Source organism: Homo sapiens, chromosome 13 (genome assembly GCF_000001405.40).
Source record: "Homo sapiens chromosome 13, GRCh38.p14 Primary Assembly".
NCBI lineage: Eukaryota > Metazoa > Chordata > Mammalia > Primates > Hominidae > Homo > Homo sapiens.
The window spans coordinates 98,242,781-98,263,937 of NC_000013.11; the positions used below are offsets into that span (position 1 = coordinate 98,242,781).

Below are 21,157 nucleotides of genomic sequence, written 5' to 3' on the forward strand. Positions count from 1 at the left end.
AGGCTAATTTTATCTTTAGTTGTATAAATATATTTTGGAAGAGAATAAGATTTTAATATGTGTATCTACATTATCTGTGTCTTTCACTAATAAGACAAGGTTCAACATCTGTCTTCAGATTGCATTTTCTGTGGGAAGAACTTAGGTTGTAGGCATTTAGCTCAGAGAAAGGGGAAAAGGTACTTTCACTGCTCACTTTTTGCTATTTCTGCCCCAAGACCTACTGTTCATTCTCCAGACTTGCTGTATTTTATGTCGAAAGGTTTTACTGTTTCCATGAGGAACTGTGGTTCATTTTCCCCAGGCTTATAATCAGTAAGTAGTGATTTTCTTTTCAGTGTTACTTACTGTGATACTGTAAAATCAAACTAACAATAAGGTGCCACAACGCCATAAAAAATTAATAATATTGGGAAGATGTTGATTCCCAAACTAAGATTTGGGCTTTGGTTTTGAACTGTTAATTTGTTCATTCATTTTAATATTTCCTTTGACTGTCTCAGATATACCAAAGCGTGGTGCATTGTGGAATGTGTGCCAGTCTCAATGCATGTAGCTCTGTAGGATGGAAAGTCAGTTATGAAGAGAGACTTCTTTTTCTTCTGTGTCCTGTTGATTAAGAAGAATCTGTATGGCCGGGCACGGTGGCTCACGCCTGTAATCCCAGCACTTTGGAAGGCTGAGGGGGGTGGATCACGAGGTCAGGAGTTCAAGATGAACTTGGCCAAGATAGTGAAACCCTGTCTCTACTAAAAATAAAAAAAAAAATTAGCCGGGCGTGGTGGTGGGCGCCTGTAATCTCAGCTACTTGGGAGGCTGAGACAGAGAATTGCTTGAACCCAGGAGGCGGAGGTTGCAGTGAGCCTAGATCGTGCCACTGCGCTCCAGCCTGGGCGACAGAGAGAGACTCCATCTCAAAAAAAAAAAAAAAAAAAAAATCTGTATAACTTGCATTGCCCTTTCAGGTAATTAATCACCCTTTTTTTCCAGCAGGGTTAAAGATTGTAGTATTGACTATCAGTTATTTTGTAACAAAAACTGGACCTAAAGTTCAATTCACTGTTGACTTTTTCAAGAGGAGTATTAAATTTTTACTCCCTGCTGTACATGTGGAATTTCAGTGTAATTTTAAGCCAAATTCTTTAAAATATGTGAAACTCATAGTGCTATTACAAAATAATTACAAAGGAAGCAAGTTTTCTCCCCTGAGCATCTTATTTCTAGATTTTTTTTTTTCCTAAGCAATCTCTTGAAAAGGAATATCAGTGAGCAGATTTCTCTGGGGCCATTTGAACTTCATTAAAATTTCAGAGAGGGCTTTTCAATGAGAATATATTCATGTAAGCACTGGAGAGTTTTGCATAATTTTAAAGTTGAACAGAATTGGGTACAATTAGTGATGAAAATACAGTCCATCCCAGATTCCTAGCTGATTGCCATTTTGGTTTTCCCAGCAAACACCCTTTCTACCCCACTTCCTAGCTTTATTGAGATATATCTGGTATATAAAAAATTGTACATAACTAATGTATACAATTTGGTGAGTTTGGATATAAGTATAGGCTGGTGTTACCATCACCCAGTCAAGGTAATAAACATATCCATCACTTCCAAAACTTTGCTGTGTCTCTTTATTGTTACTGTTTTTTAAAAAACAACAACAAAAAGCGCCTTTTCAAGGGAGTAGCATTTGCTCTCCTCTCTTCCCAGATGGTGTCCTCATCCTCCTTCCTCAAAGCCACCGGCTCCTCCTGGACGGGTTGGGTACTGAGATGCTCCATGAAGCCCAAGCACCATTCACATCTAATTGAGAAGTTTGGAGAGGACAGAATTCTCACTCATCTTACAGGCTCTATTTCTTACACAAACTGGGCTGGAAGTAGAAGCTTAGCGGTCACAGTCACTGAAGAGCTTCTTAATCTTTTTTGAGTCAGGACTTGAAGTCCTGTTTCATTATTTCATTCAAAGAAATTGATTGGCAATGGCCAGAGTTAAATTCAAAGGTGACATTAACACATTTCAGTGCCCAATAAGTGATTTTTCTGCTGGGTAGGAGTAGATACAGATGTGATCTCAGATACGTGAAGCTGCATACAGAGGGGCCCATCCACTCCTAAACGGGTCTCCAGGAGGCTTGGTTTGATCTACTAGATTTGGTGCCTCTTAAAGGGAAGCAATACAGCTTTTCTGCTGTGGGTTGTTTGCCACTAGGGGAAGATTCATTTCTATTCCAGCCATAAATTAGACCAAAGAGAGGGATTTGGTTTATTGCTAGTGCAGAAGTTAAAAACCATCTTCCTTTCCTGAGTGGTCTCTTAATTAGATTCTTTAGTTTTTAAATGTTAACTGGAATTGCTGAAGTTTAATTCCTGAAAGGGTTTAGTTTTTAAAAGGAGTACCTCATTTACCATATTACTGTGTTCTGAGAAATCTACAGTAATTTTTGTGTAACTTTTTTATTCAAAGAATGGATTGTTAATTGTAAAGCCATTTAGAAAGGCGAATAAAGTCAGATCTACTTTAATACATGTTTGTCTTACCAGCTTATTGATAAGCACTTTGTGGGATGTTTATGTGAGAACAGTTGATTTTAATGAGAAAACAGATTTTCAGCTCCCATGTTCAGTGTTTTATGTGACAAAATCATACACTGCAGCAACTAAGTAATACGAAGTGAGTACTTTAATTGAAACAATTAGAGTGACACAGGAGGCATTTTCTACTTGTGTAAACGCAAAGCTTAATTTTTAAAAAGCCTCCCCCAGTTTTCCTTCCTAAAGGAAGTGGATGATCAAGCCTGAGCTAGATAGAATAGCAGATGTGTATTTCATTATTAATACAAGAGGAATCTTTTTGGGTTAATAGAACTATTCTTTAGAAGAAGAACTTGTTTTGTGTTACAAAGGTGTTACATGGTTACTTACAGTAACAATTTCGAGCAGCACAGAAAATGCAGAAATGTATCCCATTCTTAGGATTTTTGAGATAAATTCTTTTTTTTATTTGGAGAGGGAGTCTCACTCTGTCACCCAGGCTGGAGTGCAGTGGTGCGATCTCGGCTCACAGCAACCTCCGCCTCCCGGGTTCAAGCAATTCTCCTGCCTCAGCCTCCCGGGTAGCTGGGACTACAGATGCACGCCGCCACGCCACCATGCCCAGCCAACTTTTTATATTTTAGTAGAGACGAGGTTTCACCGTGTTGCCCAGGCTGGTCTCGAATTCATGAGCTCAGGCAATCTGCCCCCCTCAGCCTCCCAAAGTGTTGGGATTACAGGTGTGAGCCACTGCGCCCGGCCGAGATAAATTCTTTTTTTTTTTTTTTTTTTTTTTTTTTGAGACGGAGTCTCGCTGTCACCCAGGCTGGAGTGCAGTGGCGCAATCTCGGCTCACTGCAGGCTCCGCCCCCTGGGGTTCACGCCATTCTCCTGCCTCAGCCTCCCGAGTAGCTAGGACTACAGGCGCCCGCCACCTCGCCCGGCTAATTTTTTGTATTTTTAGTAGAGACGGGGTTTCACCGTGTTAGCCAGGATGGTCTCGATCTCCTGACCTCGTGATCCCCGCCTCGGCCTCCCAAAGTGCTGGGATTACAGGCGTGAGCCACCGCGCCCAGCCCCGAGATAAATTCTTAATTCTCATCTGTAGATCAGCAAAAATAAGCTTAGTCTTCTGATTCTTGTAACTTAAAAAAAAATTAGAGTCTATAGTTTTTGTCTAGGAAACATGGTTGTCAGTTTTCATTGTTAGAGTCTCAAAATAAGTGGTGTGTGTGTGCTTGCTTGTGTGCCTGTGTGTTTGTGAGTGTTGTGTGTGTGTGTTTACATACTATACTCCCTCCTTCTCCTCTGGGGATAATCTAAAAAGCTCAAAGTTCTTAGTCCTGGGTACTGAAACAATGCTATAAGGGAGGCATTTAGAAAAGCTTAATTTTAACCAGGTACTTACACCACAAACAGAATGACATCACTAAGCACACAGCACGTTAGTGAACAGTGGCTTTGTCAGAGCTTTCTACCCAGAGCCCTGAAATGGAACATTGTTAATTAGCTTTAAAAAATCCAGCTGTTCCTTGAGCCCATGGATTCTGCCTGTGCACTTCCTGCATACAACCGTCTACACAGAACCGAGGGCTGGAACTCCTGTGTTTAAGAAGGCAGCTGTTCCTTGGCGGGGCACAGTTGCTCACGCCTGTAATCCCAGCACTTTGGGAGGCCAAGGTGGACGGATCACCTGAGGTCAGGGGTTCAAGACCCAGCCTGGCCAACATGGTGAAACCACGTCTCTACTAAAAATACAAAAGTTAACTGGGCGTGATGGCGCATGCCTGTAACCCGCATGCCTGTAATCCCAGCTATTCGGGAGGCTGAGGCAGAAGAATCACTGGAACCCAGGAGGCGGAGGTTGCAGTGAGCTGAGATCGCACCACTGCACTCCAGACTGGGTGGCGGTGAGACTCTGTCTCCAAAAAAAAAGTAGCTGTTCCTTTCTACACCTAGAAGACGATGCGTGCCATCTACCAATAGTGTCACGCCCAGGGTGTGTACTCTGTTGGTGGTGTGCAGCCTTCCACACCCCTGGCTGGGCCCACTTTGGCCCCCACATAGAGTTCTTTAACTGCCCTTTAAGAAAGTCACACTAAGCTCTAAATGACCAGGCCGGGTCACTAACGCAGACAGACACCCCAGTATGACTGGCTGGGCTATCCATCCCCGCAGCCCTGCTGGGGGAGTGGAGCTCACTGGGAGGACAGGTGGTGTGAAACAGAGAGAGCTATTTGAACTAACATGGGAGGAGGGAAGACGGAGAAGGATACAACAGACAGTGAGCTCAGGGCTCTGCTGGGATCCAGGGCAGGGGAGGAACCTTTCCCAGAGAAAGTTAGGAAGGTGAGCAAAGGTTGGTAGGTTGACCCCAGCTTCCACCTTCAACGGATTCCAGGCAGTTCACGAGGAGCCAGAGTGTAGATGATGCGGATTGGGAGCCGATAAGAAAGTCCAGGCAAACAGAAACAGAGAACAGGGGCAAGATGTCCGCAGCATCCAGAAGGAGGCCTCTTCACAAAGTGAATGCCACCAAGCCACGGATGTGGTCATCAGCTTCCAGCGATCCTTGTGAAGAGCTGTGTATTGAATGCTGGACACTTGATCAGCAGTCGTATGATAAGAATAAACCAGTTCTCAGAAGAGTCGCAGATTCCTGACACTAAGACCAGAAACACATCTCTGCCAAGGGTCCAAGAAGGAAACAAATTTTATGAACAAAAACCTTCGCAGCCTCTCTCAGCATCAGAGAGGCGGGTACCTCGGACCTGTCTTCCCAAACAGGCCAATGGGTGCAATCCCGTCCAGCCCAGCAAACAGCAACTCTAATGAGAGAAATGGGCCAATGACACCTCTGTCTAATATCTGGCATGAGTAAAGGATAGATTTTGCAGTACCTAGAAAAATAGTGAACCAGTTCTCTCTGAAATATTCTGTGATTTTTGAACTCTTTTCTACTGTATTTGGGTGGAATGAGATTTAATAGTGGACTCAGGGACACTGAGGGTAGAGGGAGGGGTAAGGAGATACCTCCTAGCAGTGATGTGAGCTGTTTCTCCCCGGGTAGAGGGCTTCCCCAAGGTATTTTCCTGTGGCCATAGACATAATACAGTATCCTTTTATAGGATGGGATAGTGTCAGGAAACAAAATGTCTCATGTTTTAAGAAATCATGAGAAGCTTCAGAAATACTTTTGGATATTAATGTTAAATCTAGGATATGCTGAGTCCTTACCACACTGGATAACACATTCTTCATGGATTCCGTATTTGTGAATCCACCTACTCCCTAAAATTTGTAGTCCCCAAATCAAGCTTGTGGTGCTTTCCTGGTCATTTGTGGACCTGCCCAGGATTACAGAAAAATGTGAGTTGCCCAATGTGCACATTCTCAGCTGAACTCAAATGAGGGTCTGCCTTCTTGTCTCAGCTCTCGCGCTGGAAACAGGTGCCTTTTTGATGATCTAGTTAGTGCCGTGATTTGTTTGCGTTTTCGTGCTTTTTGTTGGTGATTTCACTGTTTAAAATGGCTCTGAAGTGTAGTGCTAGAAGCACTGTCCAGGGTTCCTGAGCGCAAGAAGGCTGAGAATGTGCCTTACAGAGAAAACGGGTGTTAGGGAAGCTTCATTTAGGCATAAGTTCTAGTGCTACTTACTGGCCATTAATTCAACATTAATGAGTCAACAGTGTATATTAAGTAAAGTGTCTTTTAACAGAAACACACATTAAACAAATTTATATTGTTCAGTTGATGAGAATATGACAGAAGATCTCAGAATCTAATCTTGTATTTCTCCTAGACGCAACAGTTCAGTGTTCCCTAGTTCAGTGGTGACCATGTAGAGTGCAACTACAGCAAATAATGAGAATCGACTGTATTTCAACTAAGTGAGCACCCATGGGTGCTCATTTAGACGAATAGGAATTTTCAGGTATCTTTTGTGATGCTTTAATTGAATTATTTTACTGTTACAACTTTGCCTTTGGAAATATTGCAAGTATAGCTCCTTGTTAATGTACTTGGTGAACTTTTTTGGGAACATAAAATTTTTAATGATACGATACTTCTTTTATGTGACATGGTAAGAACTTAAACTCTTGTAAGATAGACGCTTTTTTGCAAGAGTGTTACAGCCCATTATTGAGGGAAGAGGTCTGATTTTTGCTTGAGGAATACATCATTAAAAAGAACTTCTGGTCTGCTTACTGTTTTACTTTTTCCTTGTGGCAACAGAGATATTTTGGCAGAAGTCTTGTGTTTCCCCACCATGTTCTTCACCCAGCTAATGGCCCATTGATGACACAGAAATTGTTTGGCTATTGGAATGATTAATGTCACTCAGGCCTATGTCTCGGGGAGGCAGGAAGGTAACAAGATGTACATCTCCCAAAGAAATATCACACAGGCCTTGTGTTTACACCTGTCTTTGAGCATTATAGAAGAAAAAAGACAGACGGAAACCTGAGGCCATACCGTTTCTTAGTGATGGTTCCCCGTGGTGGTATTGACAACATGAAATTCCAGGGGCAAATGAACAGTCTGGTTCCCCACCTCTCTCCCTTCAGTTACATATGCGATGTTTGACAGCTCCTTCCCCAAATTTCTTTTGGAAATCTTCAAAATTCATCAGGGTTTAGATTGTTGACCTGTTTTGAAAACCTAATTTTTAAGTTTTCAATCTTTTAAGCCTTGGAAAGGATAGGCATTTAATAAAAGAGAAAATAGATGATTTTATATGTATGAGAAAATACATCGCTTTAAATTTACTCGTGAGATTCACCAATGATTTCTGAACACCAAACATTGGGGTGGCCCAGTGACTTAATCGGAGAAACACAGACACTTTGAAAAGAAATGTGGGATTTAAAAACCTGCAAAACTGAGTCTGTCATTCTTTAAAATGCCATCTCAAGTCACAAAATAATGATGTTAAAATCTGAAACCATATGTGTTTTGAATGGTTTAGGTTCTAAAGAAAGGTACAATAATGCCAGTCTTTTGGGTTTGTACATGATTTGTTTCTTTCTCACATAATCTGTCAAAACTTTAAATTGTGAAATATGGCATATTTACAAAAGAGGCTATAAAAAGTGTAAGTATAGTTTAACAAATAAAAATATGAGGGCCGGGCACGGTGGCTCACACTTATAATCCCAGCACTTTGGGAGGCCGAGGCGGGTGGATCACGAGGTCAAGAGTTTGAGACCAGCGTGGCTAACATGGTGAAACCCCATCTCTGCTAAAAATACAAAAATTAGCTGGGCATGGTGGCAGGTGCCTGTAATCCCAGCTACTTGGGAGGCTGAGGCAGGAGAATCGCTTGAACCCGAGAGGCAGAGGTTGCAGTGAGCCGAGATCACACCACTGCACTCTAGCCTGGGCGACAGAGCAAGACTCTGTCTCAAAAAAAAAAAGAAAAGGAAAAAGAAAAAAATATATAACACTACCAGTATGGGCCACTCTCTGAAGACTTTTAACCCCCATCCCTTAAGAAGTAATCCCAGCCTAAATTCTGTGTTGGTCACTCATCTGCCTCTTTTTATAGTTTAACACATGTGTGTAATTCTAAACCACTGCATGATTTGGTTTGTAAATTACTGGTTCAGTGCCTGTCTTCCCCACTTAGCTGTAAGGAGAGGGATTGTGTGGCCCCTGGTCTTTGATCTGTCCTAGGCTCGAGCACAGTGCTTGGCACATAGCAGGGACTTCATAGATGTTTATGAACTTGTGAATACATAAATATGTTTATTCTTAGAAAAATGACGATTTCTAATATATGAATAAGGCACATACATGTGTGTACATTTGAATCATAAAGAATATTAAATCTTATTGTTGAACCATGAAGTTAAGTGGACAGCTGTTAGAACTGGAAGACCTGGATGCCCATTTCTCAAAGAAAGAAGTGAGGCTCAAACAGGTGCTTTGTCCAAGTTCATTCAGTTAGACGGTGGCTAAGGCGGGGCCACAGTTCATATCTTCTGCCTCCTTGTCTAGGATTCTAGGCCCTGTGCACTCTCAGGATGGTTTTATGCAAGAGATATAGACGACTTTATTTGCTTAATAGAAAGTCCCCACTGGGGGCCGGGCATGGTATTCTTACGCCTGTAATCCCAGCACTTTGGGAGGCTGAGGCGGGTGGATCACTTGAGGTCAGGAATTTGAGGCCAGCCTGGCCAACATGGTGAAACCCCACCTCTACTAAAAATACAAAAATTAGCTGGGCATGGTGGCGCACACCTGTAATCCCAGCTACTTGGGAGGCTGAGGCAGGAGAATGGCTTGAACCCGGGAGGTGGAGGTTGCAGTAAGCTGAGATCACGCCATTGCACTCCAGCCTGAGTGACAGAGTGAGACTCCATCTCAAAAAAAAAAAAAAGAAAAAAAAGTCCCCATTAGGGAAGAGGGAGGACAAACAACTACCAAAGCCCTCCAGCATCACCTGTTGGCATCACGCAATTTGATAAAGTCCATGATAAACCATAAAAAGATAGCAGATTGGATAGTAATATAGCTAATTGTATGTATGTATGTATGTGTGTATTTTGAGATGGTGTCTCATTCACTCTGTTGCCCAGGGTGTGCAGTGACGCAATCTTGGCTCAATGCAGTCTCCGCCTCCTGGGTCCAAGCGATTCTCCTGCGTCAGCCTCCTGAAGAGCTGGGATTGCAGGATCCTGCCACCATGCCCGGTTATTTTTTGTATTTTTAGTAGAGACAGGGTTTCACTATGTTGGCCAACCTGGTCTCAAACTCCTGACTTCAAGTGATCTGCCCTCTTCGGCCTCCCAAAGTGCTGGGATTACAGGCGTGAGCCACCGTGCCCACCTATATATGTATTTAACAACAATGTTAATAATATGTATTATATTAGCATATTAGGAGATTAGAGTTATAATGACTTTATTATCAGATGAATTTTTCAAAATGCCCATTTGCATTTTGACTGTTCAGACTTCCTGACTATTCAATGTGAGACTCATAAGACTAAAAGAATATCAGTGCATGTGATGTGACTCAATAACTTTAAGACTTCAGCGTGGCTCTTGTCAGGTTCACATTCATGTTCTTGGGTAGGTTCAATAGAACGTTCATTACCTGCATATTTTCATTTATTAAAATTAAAACCGACCCCAACACAGAGTGAAGATGACTTTTTCACATTACTTTGACTTGTACCTCAAAGACAAGCCAACAATGGCCCAGCTAATGGACAGGAGTGCCCTGGTGGCAGATGGTCTGGCTTGACCCTCATGGATGCTACCAAATGCTGAGATTTCCTCTCACAGGCTGCTGTAGAATGTGCCCTCCAAAATGCCAGGTATCTCTGTACTGTGTTCTTTAAACATTTATTGAAGACCTTTGTCTTTAATACCCACCCACTTAGTTGCCTGTGCCTTCCCAGGACCTGAAATTGGATGTAAGTCAATGTCAAAGAAAGTGTCCAGTGTTGTTCTTTAAGGAAGATTATCTATTATCCTGCTCTAACATTCAAGTCAGCGACCCAGTGAGCCCCGGTGATCATGTATACTTCAGAGGAAAATATATCTGCCTCAGATTCTCAGGGTGTTATTTTTAGAAAAATACTTCCAAATTGTTTGACACCAACATTTTTCAACTTGATTTTGGCAAGCATAGGCCCCTGAGATTTTAAAGTAGCTTTTATCAAAACAAAACTAGCTACTTAGCTATGACTGCGTAGAATTCCAAAGGTTGGAGAGAACCTTGGTGGCACCCATACTCAAAGTAGGGAGTGTGGTGCATTAATAGCTGTATGTTGATTTAGTCTGCGACGAAAGCAATGTTCAAGCCAAGTTTGTCCAGCAAGGAAAAATGTTAAGTTTCTGATCTTTAAAAAGGGTGTTGAGGGAGATGAAAATTAATCTGAAGCATTAAGGAATGCTGTTAAATGCTTGTTGGCAAGTAGTCCTGAGTTTAGCCTTTTATTTCTCTTAACCCACTGCTGGGGCTGCAGAAGATGACGCCAGTGATTGGTAATAAAAGTCTCAGTAGCTGCCGTTGACTGAGTGCTGTTGCAGAGGATTTTCCTGATGCTCTCGCAGGAAATGCCCATAGCAACCGCATGAGTCAGATATCCCAATCTGGCTTATCAGTGAAGAAACTGAGACTCAGATCAAAGACTTTGATGTGAGACAAAAACTGGATTTGGACCCTGCCTGCCTCTGCCACTTTTAAACTATGGCCTGGGTTTCACCATTTGTGAAATGAGGATGATGGTCTCCACCTCAAAAGGTGGTTGTGAGGATTAAGCGAGATGATGTATTTATAACAACACATCACTTACAAAGTAGGAAGTGTAGACTGCTGTGGGCTTTGCTGCGTTCATCCAAGGTCGCACCGCTAAGTCATCGTTGAGCTCGGTTTCCAGCCCAGATGTTTCCAGCCAGATGTGCTCTGCTCTTGGCCTTTTATTTTATAGTTGCTGCATCAGTTCATAGCAAACATTTCATGGAAACTGGGCCATGTGGTTAGTTTTAGGTTTGCTGTAATGAAGAGCGCCCTGGGTGGAGGCAGAATTTCTGGGTTTGAGGTCAGAATCCACTGTCTTGTTTGTGTGTGTATGACAGTTTTCATGCATGCTTTCCATGTGGGGTTTGGAACAAACTGATGGGCAGTTTTGGCTCTTCATAACACAAAGTGGGGCTCATCGCATAGTTATATACAGCTTTGAAAATACCACTCTGTACTTCTGATGCATGTGATCATTTCAGGGTTCTGAGACCACCCCAACTCATTTGCCCATCATTATGGGACCTCTGAGTTTCCGGGCAAAGTGATAATCTGAGCGGGCAGTCGGTAGTGTGTGGGTGTCCCTGAAAAGTACTAAGTGTTCTCCTCACTTGTTCCCAAATACTCATCTCATAATGATGCACTAATACATGCCATTATTGGTGTTTGTGTCATTTTTGGATTTTGAGGTTGAAGTTGAAGAGAGATGACAGTTTAATTCTTAGCTCCGCTCTTAAAAACTATGGGATTCTGAACAAATTTCTTAACTTTAGTGAGTGCCAGTTATATCATCTGTAAAGTGTGGATGAGAATAGTATCTCTCTCCTTGTGTGTTAATAATGGTGCCTGCAAAATGACTAGATAACACATGTAAAATGATCAGACAGTTTTGGGCATCTAGTAGGTGCTCAATAAAAAGTGGGTATTCTATCCCAGTGATCATGAGCACGAAGAATTGTGTCTGTTGTATTTGTGGAGAGTCTACTGATGAGAAGTGTATCCTTCTGCCTGTGTTGCTGTAGGTGCAGAATGTGATTTAAGCCAAATGCATGGCGGTGTAGCCTGGCCAGCTGTTTACACATTCAGATTCAGCCTCAGCAGAAATAGCCTAGCCATGAATTCACAAGAAACTGCTGAGAATTCAGGATCTGAGCTCACTGCTGGGATTAATTTCTTTTCAACAGACTGACTGTCTAGAGAATGTCCATGATGCTATAAATGAAAACATATGTTAGTATAACCAATGGCAGTGGGGGAATGGGAAAGCAATGATGGGATATTCAGGAACCATTTCATGGAGAAGAACCACTAGCTTGGCTGTAGCTGGGGCAAAGAAAAAGACATATTTACTACAAGATCCTTTTGTGGCATCTTCCTCTTTTTTTTTTTAAAGGTTATTTTGCATTGAAAAACAAAGGAAGAATTTTTTACTTGTAGGAGCAATTTGTGAAACAATGAACTTCCATAACCTGAGAATGTGGCTTCATTTGAGAAATGAGATTTTGGGTAAAACAACAGTAGGGAGGGAGGTCTCTTTTTAGGGCCCCTTTGGCCACCTTCAGATAAGCTCAATGAATAGCCAAGACAAAAAAATTGTAGGCAGTGTTGTTAAACTGGCATTTTTCTTGTAAATGTAAAAGTGGTTGCTGTGGCCGGGCACGGTGGCTCACGCCTGTAATCCCAGCACTTTGGGAGGTGGAGGCGGGCGGATCACAAGGTCAGGAGATCGAGACCATCCTGGCTAACATGGTGAAACCCCGTCTCTACTAAAAATAGAAAAAAAAATAGCCGGGCATGGTGGCAGGCGCCTGTAGTCCCAGCTACTCGGGAGGCTGAGGCAGGAGAATGGCGTGAACCCAGGACGCGAAGCTTGCAGTGAGCCGAGATTGCGCCACTGCACTCAAGCCCGGGCAACAGAGTGAGACTTCATCTCAAAAAAAAAACAAAAACAAAAACTAGTGGTTGCTGTGTTGTGAAATACAGTGTTTTGCCGATACCTTAAAATATTATGAAACAATGCTCTTTTTAATTGTATTTGCCTTCATGGGTTGGTTTTGAAAGATGTTAGTAATATGCATAAGATGGAAAATATATTTTGTTTGTCTTTTTTATAGTTCCCCTACCTAGCAGATTTAAAAGTTAGCAAAGGCTAAGATCATACCTTCAACTTTCTTAATAAAACAGAGACCCTTTTGGAAATCTGATTCCTAGCTCATGACTGTGCTTGACCTTTGTGGATTTCTTGTACTGTATGTCAGGCAGAGCTCATGTGGGAAGTTCTCTTATGACTGCAAGAAAAGGAAGCGTAGTAGAAACATGTAGCTGGAACTGTAGGCCATTGTGTGCGCAGTCAGCCTCCCTTCCCAGCCCCCAAATCCAGAACAATCTGTCTGAACATTAGAAACACCAGTAAACGTTAAAGCAACAACCCTTCTGGTGGGCCATTTGGCAACTGGTCAAAAATCTTAAGAATGTGCACAGCTTTGTTCCAGCAGGTTCGCTTCTAGGAGGTGCTCTTACAGAGCCGGTAGAAATGAAATGCCCATCCAAAGATGTTCGTGAAAGTGTGGTTAATGATCAAAGAAAATCATAGGTCCACCTAAGTTACGGTTCATCATTCTATACAGGTATTAAAATGTTGATAAACATTTGTTAGGAATGAAAGTGAATAGGGACGTTGTGCTGTATTTTAGGTAATGAATCAGTATTTAAAATTCGAGGTTTTTAAAAAAGTTATCAATTCTGAATTCATGAAATTAAGTGAGATCTGTGAAATATATGTGCGATGGGGAGAAGAATGGTGGTTATCAGAGGCAGGGGAGAGGGGAAAATGGGAGTCGTTTAATGGATACACAGTTAGTTTTGCCAGATGAAGATGTTCTAGAGAGGATGGTGGTGATGGCTGCACCACTGTGACAAGTGTGCTTAATGTTATTGGTCTGTACCTTTAAAAATGGTAAATTTTTGTGTTATGTGCATCTTACCACTTTTTTTTTTTTTCTTTTTTTTGGAGACAGAGTTTCACTCTGTCACCCAGGCTGGAGTGCAGTGGCGTGATCTCAGTTCACTGCAACCTCCACCTCCCAGGTTCAAGTGATTCTTGTGCTTTGGCCTCCCGAGCAGCTGGGATTACAGGCATATGCTACCATGCCTGGCTAATTTTTGTATTTTCAGTAGAGATGAGATTTCACAGTGTTGGCCAGGCTGGTCTCAAACTCCTGGCCTCAAGTGATCCACCCGCCTCAGCCTCCCAAAGTGCTGGGATTACAGGCGTGAGCCACCACACTTGGCCTTACTACAGTTTTTTTTTTTTTTTTTTACAAGGAACAATAATAAAAAGAATGATAAATAATAACAATAATTTTCAAAGTATATATGTGGATATATATATATATATATATATATATATATATATATATATATACCGAAAGATTTCCCTTCTGAAGGAAAGTTTGGTTTTATTTATAATTATTTCAGTATACATCTCTAAAAGATCAAGCGTTCTTCAACATAATCACTATTCCCTCGTCACACTTCAGATACTAAAATTTTCCAAATATCATTGAATACAAAGGAAAACTTTGTGATTAAAAAACACAGCATTTTAATCAACTTAACTCAAGCATTTTTGGAGATGGACTCATCTGTGTATTTAAAACAACACTAGTCTTGGCAGTGTCAATAATCTGGTACGATGGAAATGTGTTCTGGAAGCTTTTGGACCTGGTAGGATTTTATGAAGGGAGAGAGGGAATGTGATAGGATTTGCTAATCTTTCTCACTGACACGTCTAATTTTGTCAAAAATACACATTCTTCTTTTCCTCGTCTGTTTTGTTACCTTCTCCTCATTCTGTACGCCCTTCTTTCTGCACTATCTATTATACATCTGTTTGAATCCCTCTTTAAGAAGTAGAACCCTGAGGCTGGGTGCAGTGGCTCATGTCTGTAATCCCAGCACTTTGGGACGCCAAGGTGGGTGGATAACAAGGTCAGGAATTTGAGACCAGCCTGACCAACATGGTGAAACCTGTCTGTACTAAAGATACAAAAATTAGCTAGGCATGGTGGCATGTGCCTGTAATCCTAGCTACTTGGGAGGCTGAGGCAGGAGAATCACTTGTATCCTGGAGGCGGAGGTTGTAGTGAGCCGAGATTGCACCACTGCACTCCAGCCTGGATGACGGAGCAAGACTCCATCTTGAGGGGGAAAAGAAAAAAAAGTAGGACCCTCATTGATGTGTGGCTACAGTGGAGATATCCAAGCTAAAACTTCTGATCTATTTGCTACTATGTTTTATGTTGAAAACAACGCATAGATGTGAAGTCACGCGTGTGTTAAATAGCTTGATGTAGCCATTCCACAGCGTGTACATCTATCAAAACATCATGTCGTACACCATTGATATATATAATTTTTTTTTTGAGATGGAGTCTCGCTCTGTTGCCCAGGCTAGAGTGCAGTGGCACGATCTTGGCTCACTGCAAGCTCTGCCTCCTGGGTTCACGCCATTCTCCTGCCTCAGCCTCCCGAGTAGCTGAGGCACCCGCGACCGTGCCCGGCTAATTTTTTTGTATTTTTAGTAGAGATGGGGTTTCACCATGTTAGCAAGGATGGTCTCAATCTCCTGACCTCATGATCCACCCGCGTCAGCCTCCCAAAGTGCTGGGATTACAGGCATGAGCAACCACACCCGGCCTGTAATTTTTACTTGTCAATTTAAAAAGTAAACTTAAAGAAAAAACATAAATAGAACATGAGAAGGACAGGTCATGAAACCTTTCCAGACTCCCTGTACTTTTAACTCTGAAGAATATTTAGAGTTTATGCAATCACTGCCTGGCATAGAGTTATATCAAAATGTCCTGGTAATACACCAGACCACGTGAGCATCGTGTTTGCTAATTTGTGACCTTGAATAGGTATTGTTTAATTTGATAAAGTTTCCAGGAGTATAGATTGAGGTAAAAGATCTGAATAGTGGCAAAGATGATGGGAAAAATCAGTTGGGTGCTGTCACTCATGCTTGTGATCACAGCATTTTGGGAGGCCGAGGTTGGAGGATCTCTTGAGGCCAGGAGATCAAGAGCAACCTGGGCAACATAGAGAGACTACATCTCTATTGTGGGGAAAAAAAAAAGCCAAGGTCAATTGTTCACTGTTTTCTGAGGCTCTTTCATCCTCTGCCTGACATCTAATTTCTTACCCTCTTGATGAGATGACAAATTCTAGATCAGGCAACCCAGGAATGCTGTCATCTGGTAGGATCCTTCATATGTATTTATGTGATTTTATTTGGTAATTGAATTTGAGAATTTAAAATGCTCTTGATTTCAGATTTACCTAAAAAATCATCAGGGCTGGGCCTGGTGGCTCACGCCTGTAATCCCAGCACTTTGGGAGGCCAAGGCGGGAGGATCGCTTGAGCTCAGGTGTTTGAGACCAGGCTGGGCAACATAGTGAGACCCTGTCTGTCTCTACAAAAAATAAAAAAAAATCTGAGTGTGGTAGGATGTGCCTATAAACACAGCTACTCCAGCGGCTGAGGTGGGAGGATTGCTCGAGCCTGGGAGGTCGAGGCTGCAGTGATCCATGGTTGTGACACTGCATGCCACTGTCACCCCTGGGCAACAGAGCAAGACCCTGTCTCAAAAATAGATATGTATATTTTTATATTCTCTCTCTATGTGTATATATAGAGTATATGTATATAGAGTATATATATAATACTCTCTATATAGAGTGTACATATCTATAAAGTGTGTATATATACACACATATATACGTGTGTGTGTGTGTGTATCAGCAGCTTGCATTTACTAGTTTTTAAGTGAGCCTTAGAAATGTCCTTAGGTGGCTCCCAGCATGTCACTTGGGGCTTAAGTGCAGCCTGTCTTACTGCTCACATGTCCCTGTGTTGGGCCTCCCTCAGGCTTGGCTCCAGAGGTTTCACCGTGAGCAGGGGACCAGTGTTTTGCCCCCCAGGTTTCCTGGCTGGTGAGCTGGCACCATCTTCACAGAGGCTTACAGTGTTTGATTATAAAAATGGCAGTGTTCAATTTTTAAAATGCATATTCCAAGTTGTCTTTTTTCCTAAATATTCCTAATTACATTTGATTTTTTTTCCAAGATGGTTGCTTGGAGCTTGACTTATTGCATGCTTGAGAGAAAGAGAAGGGGACAGAGGTTGTTGGAGTAAGTCAGGTGGAGCTTGGCTTAAACATCAGGATCCAAGATTCAGGTCGGATGAAGGGAAGGTGGCCTGTAGAATAGTCACGGTGCTTGAGAAATGGGAAATTTAAAGATACCTGAAAAGTGTGTGTGTGTGTGTGTGTGTGTGTGTGTGTGTGTGTATTGAGAAGACCTTGGGGCAGTTACCCTCTGAGCCTCAGTTTCCATGTTGATAAAACAAGGGAATCGGAATAATTGATTCTTCAAAGTTCTTTCCTTATTTAACCCACTGGGGCTCTGGACTATATTAAATGTGTAAAAATTGCATCTGCTAGGTGGGCGGCCCATTTCAAGGAAAATTCTAGAATAAGTAAGCCTTACATTGGGTAAATACAAGTTTTAAAAAAGCACACACACACGCCCCTCGTCAAGTTTCCTAATACAAGTTTTACTTCACAGTCTGCTTATAATTCTAGGTAGGTGCTGCACAGCATGAAGAAGGTATTATGTGTTGAGTTTTGTTGTATTTAGTAACCCATTGCTCATCTGACTGTAAAGTCTGTCTTATATTTCAAGGTGTTACTAATCATGGGTTCACACACCCCTCTGTTGCCTATTGATAGGTGAAACACTGCTTCATTTAACATTTTTCTTTGTTGTTCTTCAGTTTATTCCATTTTGGTATAGTCAGCTTCATCCTCACTGAGTTTAGCCTTTGCAGATATCCATTCCTCCCTGGTTACCTCTGCAGCATCTGAAAGACCCAGTCAGTGATACACAGAGGTCTGGAACTCAATCCAGCTCAACTCTGGGCCTGTGAAAGCAAAACAATGGGGACAAATCCAGCTGGCCCACGAGCACTTGCTTTATAAAGCTGCCCACACACTCTTCACTCTACTTGCTTTTTGGTCCCCTGTTTTTAGAGTTCCCTGATGCTTTAGCTAGAGGGGCTTTTTCATGTTGTTTCAAGGCTGTGAGTTCTAACACGTAAGCTGCGTTCTGGCTTTAGCCACTCTGTCCTGCCAAGAAGCTGACCACTGTTTGAAATCAACTTCTCATCTGCTTCTCGTCAGGTTTTCCAGAGCCCAGAGAACAGTGTTGAGTCAGGCCACAGATAGGATACAAAGGCCAGGACACAATTCCAAATCCCAGGGGGCTGGAGAGAGTCAGGGCCTTCAGTGTCAATCAGTTAAACACCGAGGCAGGAGGAAGGGACATTGGGAGACTTGCAGGATCCTGGACTTGTGTTCACATTTAATTCTGCTCTGTGTAGGGGTGTGTATTAGGACTGCAGGATGGACAGGTGTGACAGCTCTATGGGAGGAAGGGGAAACTCTGGTGTCCGCATCCTATGGGAATGCACAGTGCATTGCTGCGTGGTGACAGCTGTTGATGGGGCACGCTGCTCATGCAGACACTGGAAGGAACCACTGCTGTGGTCCCATGCTTTGCTTTTCTAGGTGAGGCCTGAGGCAGCGAGAGAGGAGATGCCCGGGCCAGGCTCCCACAGAGAAGTGCTGGCAGAGCTCATGTGTGGGCGACCCCTGGCCCTGAGCTGTGGGTGACTACAGCAACTGGGGGATTTGTCAGGACCTGGCCCATCCTTGGGGGAAAGAGTGTTGCCTTCCAGAAGGACATCCGGGTGTCCGTTCACCTTGACCTCCCATTGGATGCAACCTTTTGGTCCATAGCATCTTACTCCCCTCCTCCCTTCGTTGACCAGATCACATTCCTCTCTATAGATTTCAGTCAGCTCCCACTGGTATGCATGTCTGTGTACTTTTTTTTTTTTTTTGCCTAGAAAGTTTGCTTTGGGCTTTGAATACAATGGGAAGGGTGGATAAATTATGTGTGGGAAGGAATTTATGGTGTCATAGGAAGAACATTGACTGATGTTTGTAAAAATATGGGAGTTTGTAACATAGATGATATCTTTTTGATACATGTAACATGCTGTGTAGGTGTGGAGGAAAAGCAAGAGAAAGAAGCAAGGCATGCTTCGAATTTCTCTGTACAGATGATTCCTGTTAGTGCGTTTTGCGTTACAACCAACACTCTCCTGAGCTAATAGAGCGAGAACTCACTGTTGCTGTGGGGAGGGCATCAAGCCATTCATGAGGGATCCACTCCCATGACCCAGACACCTCTCACTAGGCTCCGTCTCCAACTCTGGGGTCACATTTCAGCATGAGATCTGGAGGGGACACCCAATTCCTTTAACTGCCCTCCTTGTGCTAGTTTTGCTTCCTATAGGTTGATACTGTGCCCACCCCCGCCCCCCCAACTTTTTTTTTTGAGATGGAGTCTTACTCTGTCACCCAGGCTGGAGTGCAGTGGTGTGATCTCAGCTCACTGCAACCTCCACCTCCCGGGGTCAAGTGATTTTCCAGCTTCAACCTCCCAAGTAGCTGGGACTGCAGGTGTGTGCTACCGCGCCCTGCTAATTTTTTTTTTTTTTTTTTAAAGAAACATGGTTTTACCATGTTGTGTAGGCTGGTCTTGAACTCTGGAGCTCAAAGAGATCCACCTGCCTTAGCCTCTCAAAGTGCTGGGATTACAGGCATGAGCCACTATGCCTGGCAATACTGCATTCTTTTATTTGCCGACTTTTCTTCTTCCTCCAGGCTCCAGACATGTAATGTACAACACCCTCAGCTGGTTTTTGGGACACTTAAGTGGCTGGAGGGCAGCCTGTGAATATGGTTTTTCTCTGTGTTGGGTGAGGTGATCATGTGTTTTTCTATTGAAGATCATGGAAAGCTGAGGTCATGAAGGAGACTCGCAAAGACTGGCAGTTAAAATGGACAGAAATGAAAGGATCGCATTACAGGTTTCATAGAAACTGGTTATTCCAGGCATATGTTAATGAAATTCACGCATTTTGTGTTTATTGGAATACCGAATGGTCATATTCACTAGCATTGAATTAATGTGTTAAAGTGAGGTTTTGATGACATTAGTTGCACATGACTTTTAGTTGAAAATTTTTTTCAAGAAGTAAAATTAAAGCAATGGAAATAGAGCCAGTAATCTGTCAGGCCTGATCTCTGTCAGACCCGAAGTTAACTTACCAGATCATTCAAATTACTGTTCATTAGAGTGTGGAGGTATCGGGCCTGTTTTGGAGAAGCTAAGTATTACAGTGGCCTGGTATAAATGTTGACTGTAACATTTATAAAGAGGAGTTAGCACGTCATTTTACTAAGTCTCTGCCCCTTTTACAGTGTCACTTTCCTAATACAGTTTCATCTTAAACATTATTATTATTATTATTATTATTGTTTTTTGGGACAGAGCTTTGCTCTTGTTGCCCAGGCTGGAGTGCCGTCGCGCAATCTCGGCTCACCGCAACCTCCACCTCCCGGTTTCAAGCGATTCTCCTGCCTCAGCCTCCTGAGTAGCTGGGATTACATGCTGTGCCACCATGCCTGGCTAATTTTTGTACTTTTAATAGAGATGGGGTTTCTCCATGTTGGTCAGGCTGGTCTCAAACTCCTGACCTCAGGTTATCTGCCCGGCTCGGCCTCCCAAAGTGCTGAGATTACAGGCATGAGCCACCACGCCCGGCCACACTACTTTTATTTATAATGTTTATGTTTAGAAAGAATCCCTATGCTTATATTTAGAAAGCTAGGAAGGTGGAATGGGAATAATTGTATTCATAATGTTTTATTTCTGTTATTAAAAAACTTGAAATGTGAGAAAATATTTGTCATTACTCTTGTATCATCTTTTGTACTTGGATCTATTTTCAAGACTGTTCTCAAAAGAGAAAAAAGTTTATGCTCACTATTGAAAATTTGTAAAATAACGAACATAATGAAGAAAATAAAAATCATCCATGATCCAGTGTGCAATTTCAATACACAGTTTTTCAATTAGCAATTGCTCTTTGAAGCAATCTCTTCTAAGGAAATAGGTAGATCTGTGTGCAAAAATGTAGCCCAGTAGATGTTTAATAGTAGGTTATTGAGTAAACCATGGTACACCCATCAAGTAATATGTTCTCTGAATATTAAATGATATTTATCTTAGAATTGATCTCACATTTGTGAATCTTAACCTTTTATATTGTGACATCCTTCAATTGATTTTCCTTTTCCCATTTATTTTTAGTGCTCCCCCCCCAACAACATTTTATTAGTTTTTCCAGCTAGTTTGGAAATACAATGACTTGTTATAACCGTTGGAGCATCCTT

General features: G+C 42.4%; 1 protein-coding gene across 3 annotated transcripts in view; it reads left to right on the plus strand.

Moving 5' to 3' along the window:
- Nucleotides 1–21,157, plus strand: part of FARP1 (FERM, ARH/RhoGEF and pleckstrin domain protein 1) — a 312,588-nt gene that overhangs the window by 100,192 nt on the left and 191,239 nt on the right. The window contains exon 3 of one of the 3 annotated variants that reach the window (NM_001001715.4): nt 1,711–2,524. The exons of the other annotated variants lie outside the window; for them this stretch is intronic. Within the exon in view, the coding sequence (NP_001001715.2) occupies nt 1,711–1,929 (219 nt within the window). The 3' untranslated portion in view covers nt 1,930–2,524. Of the gene's footprint in view, nt 1–1,710; nt 2,525–21,157 lie in introns of those variants that run through there. 3 annotated transcript variants of the gene reach the window in all.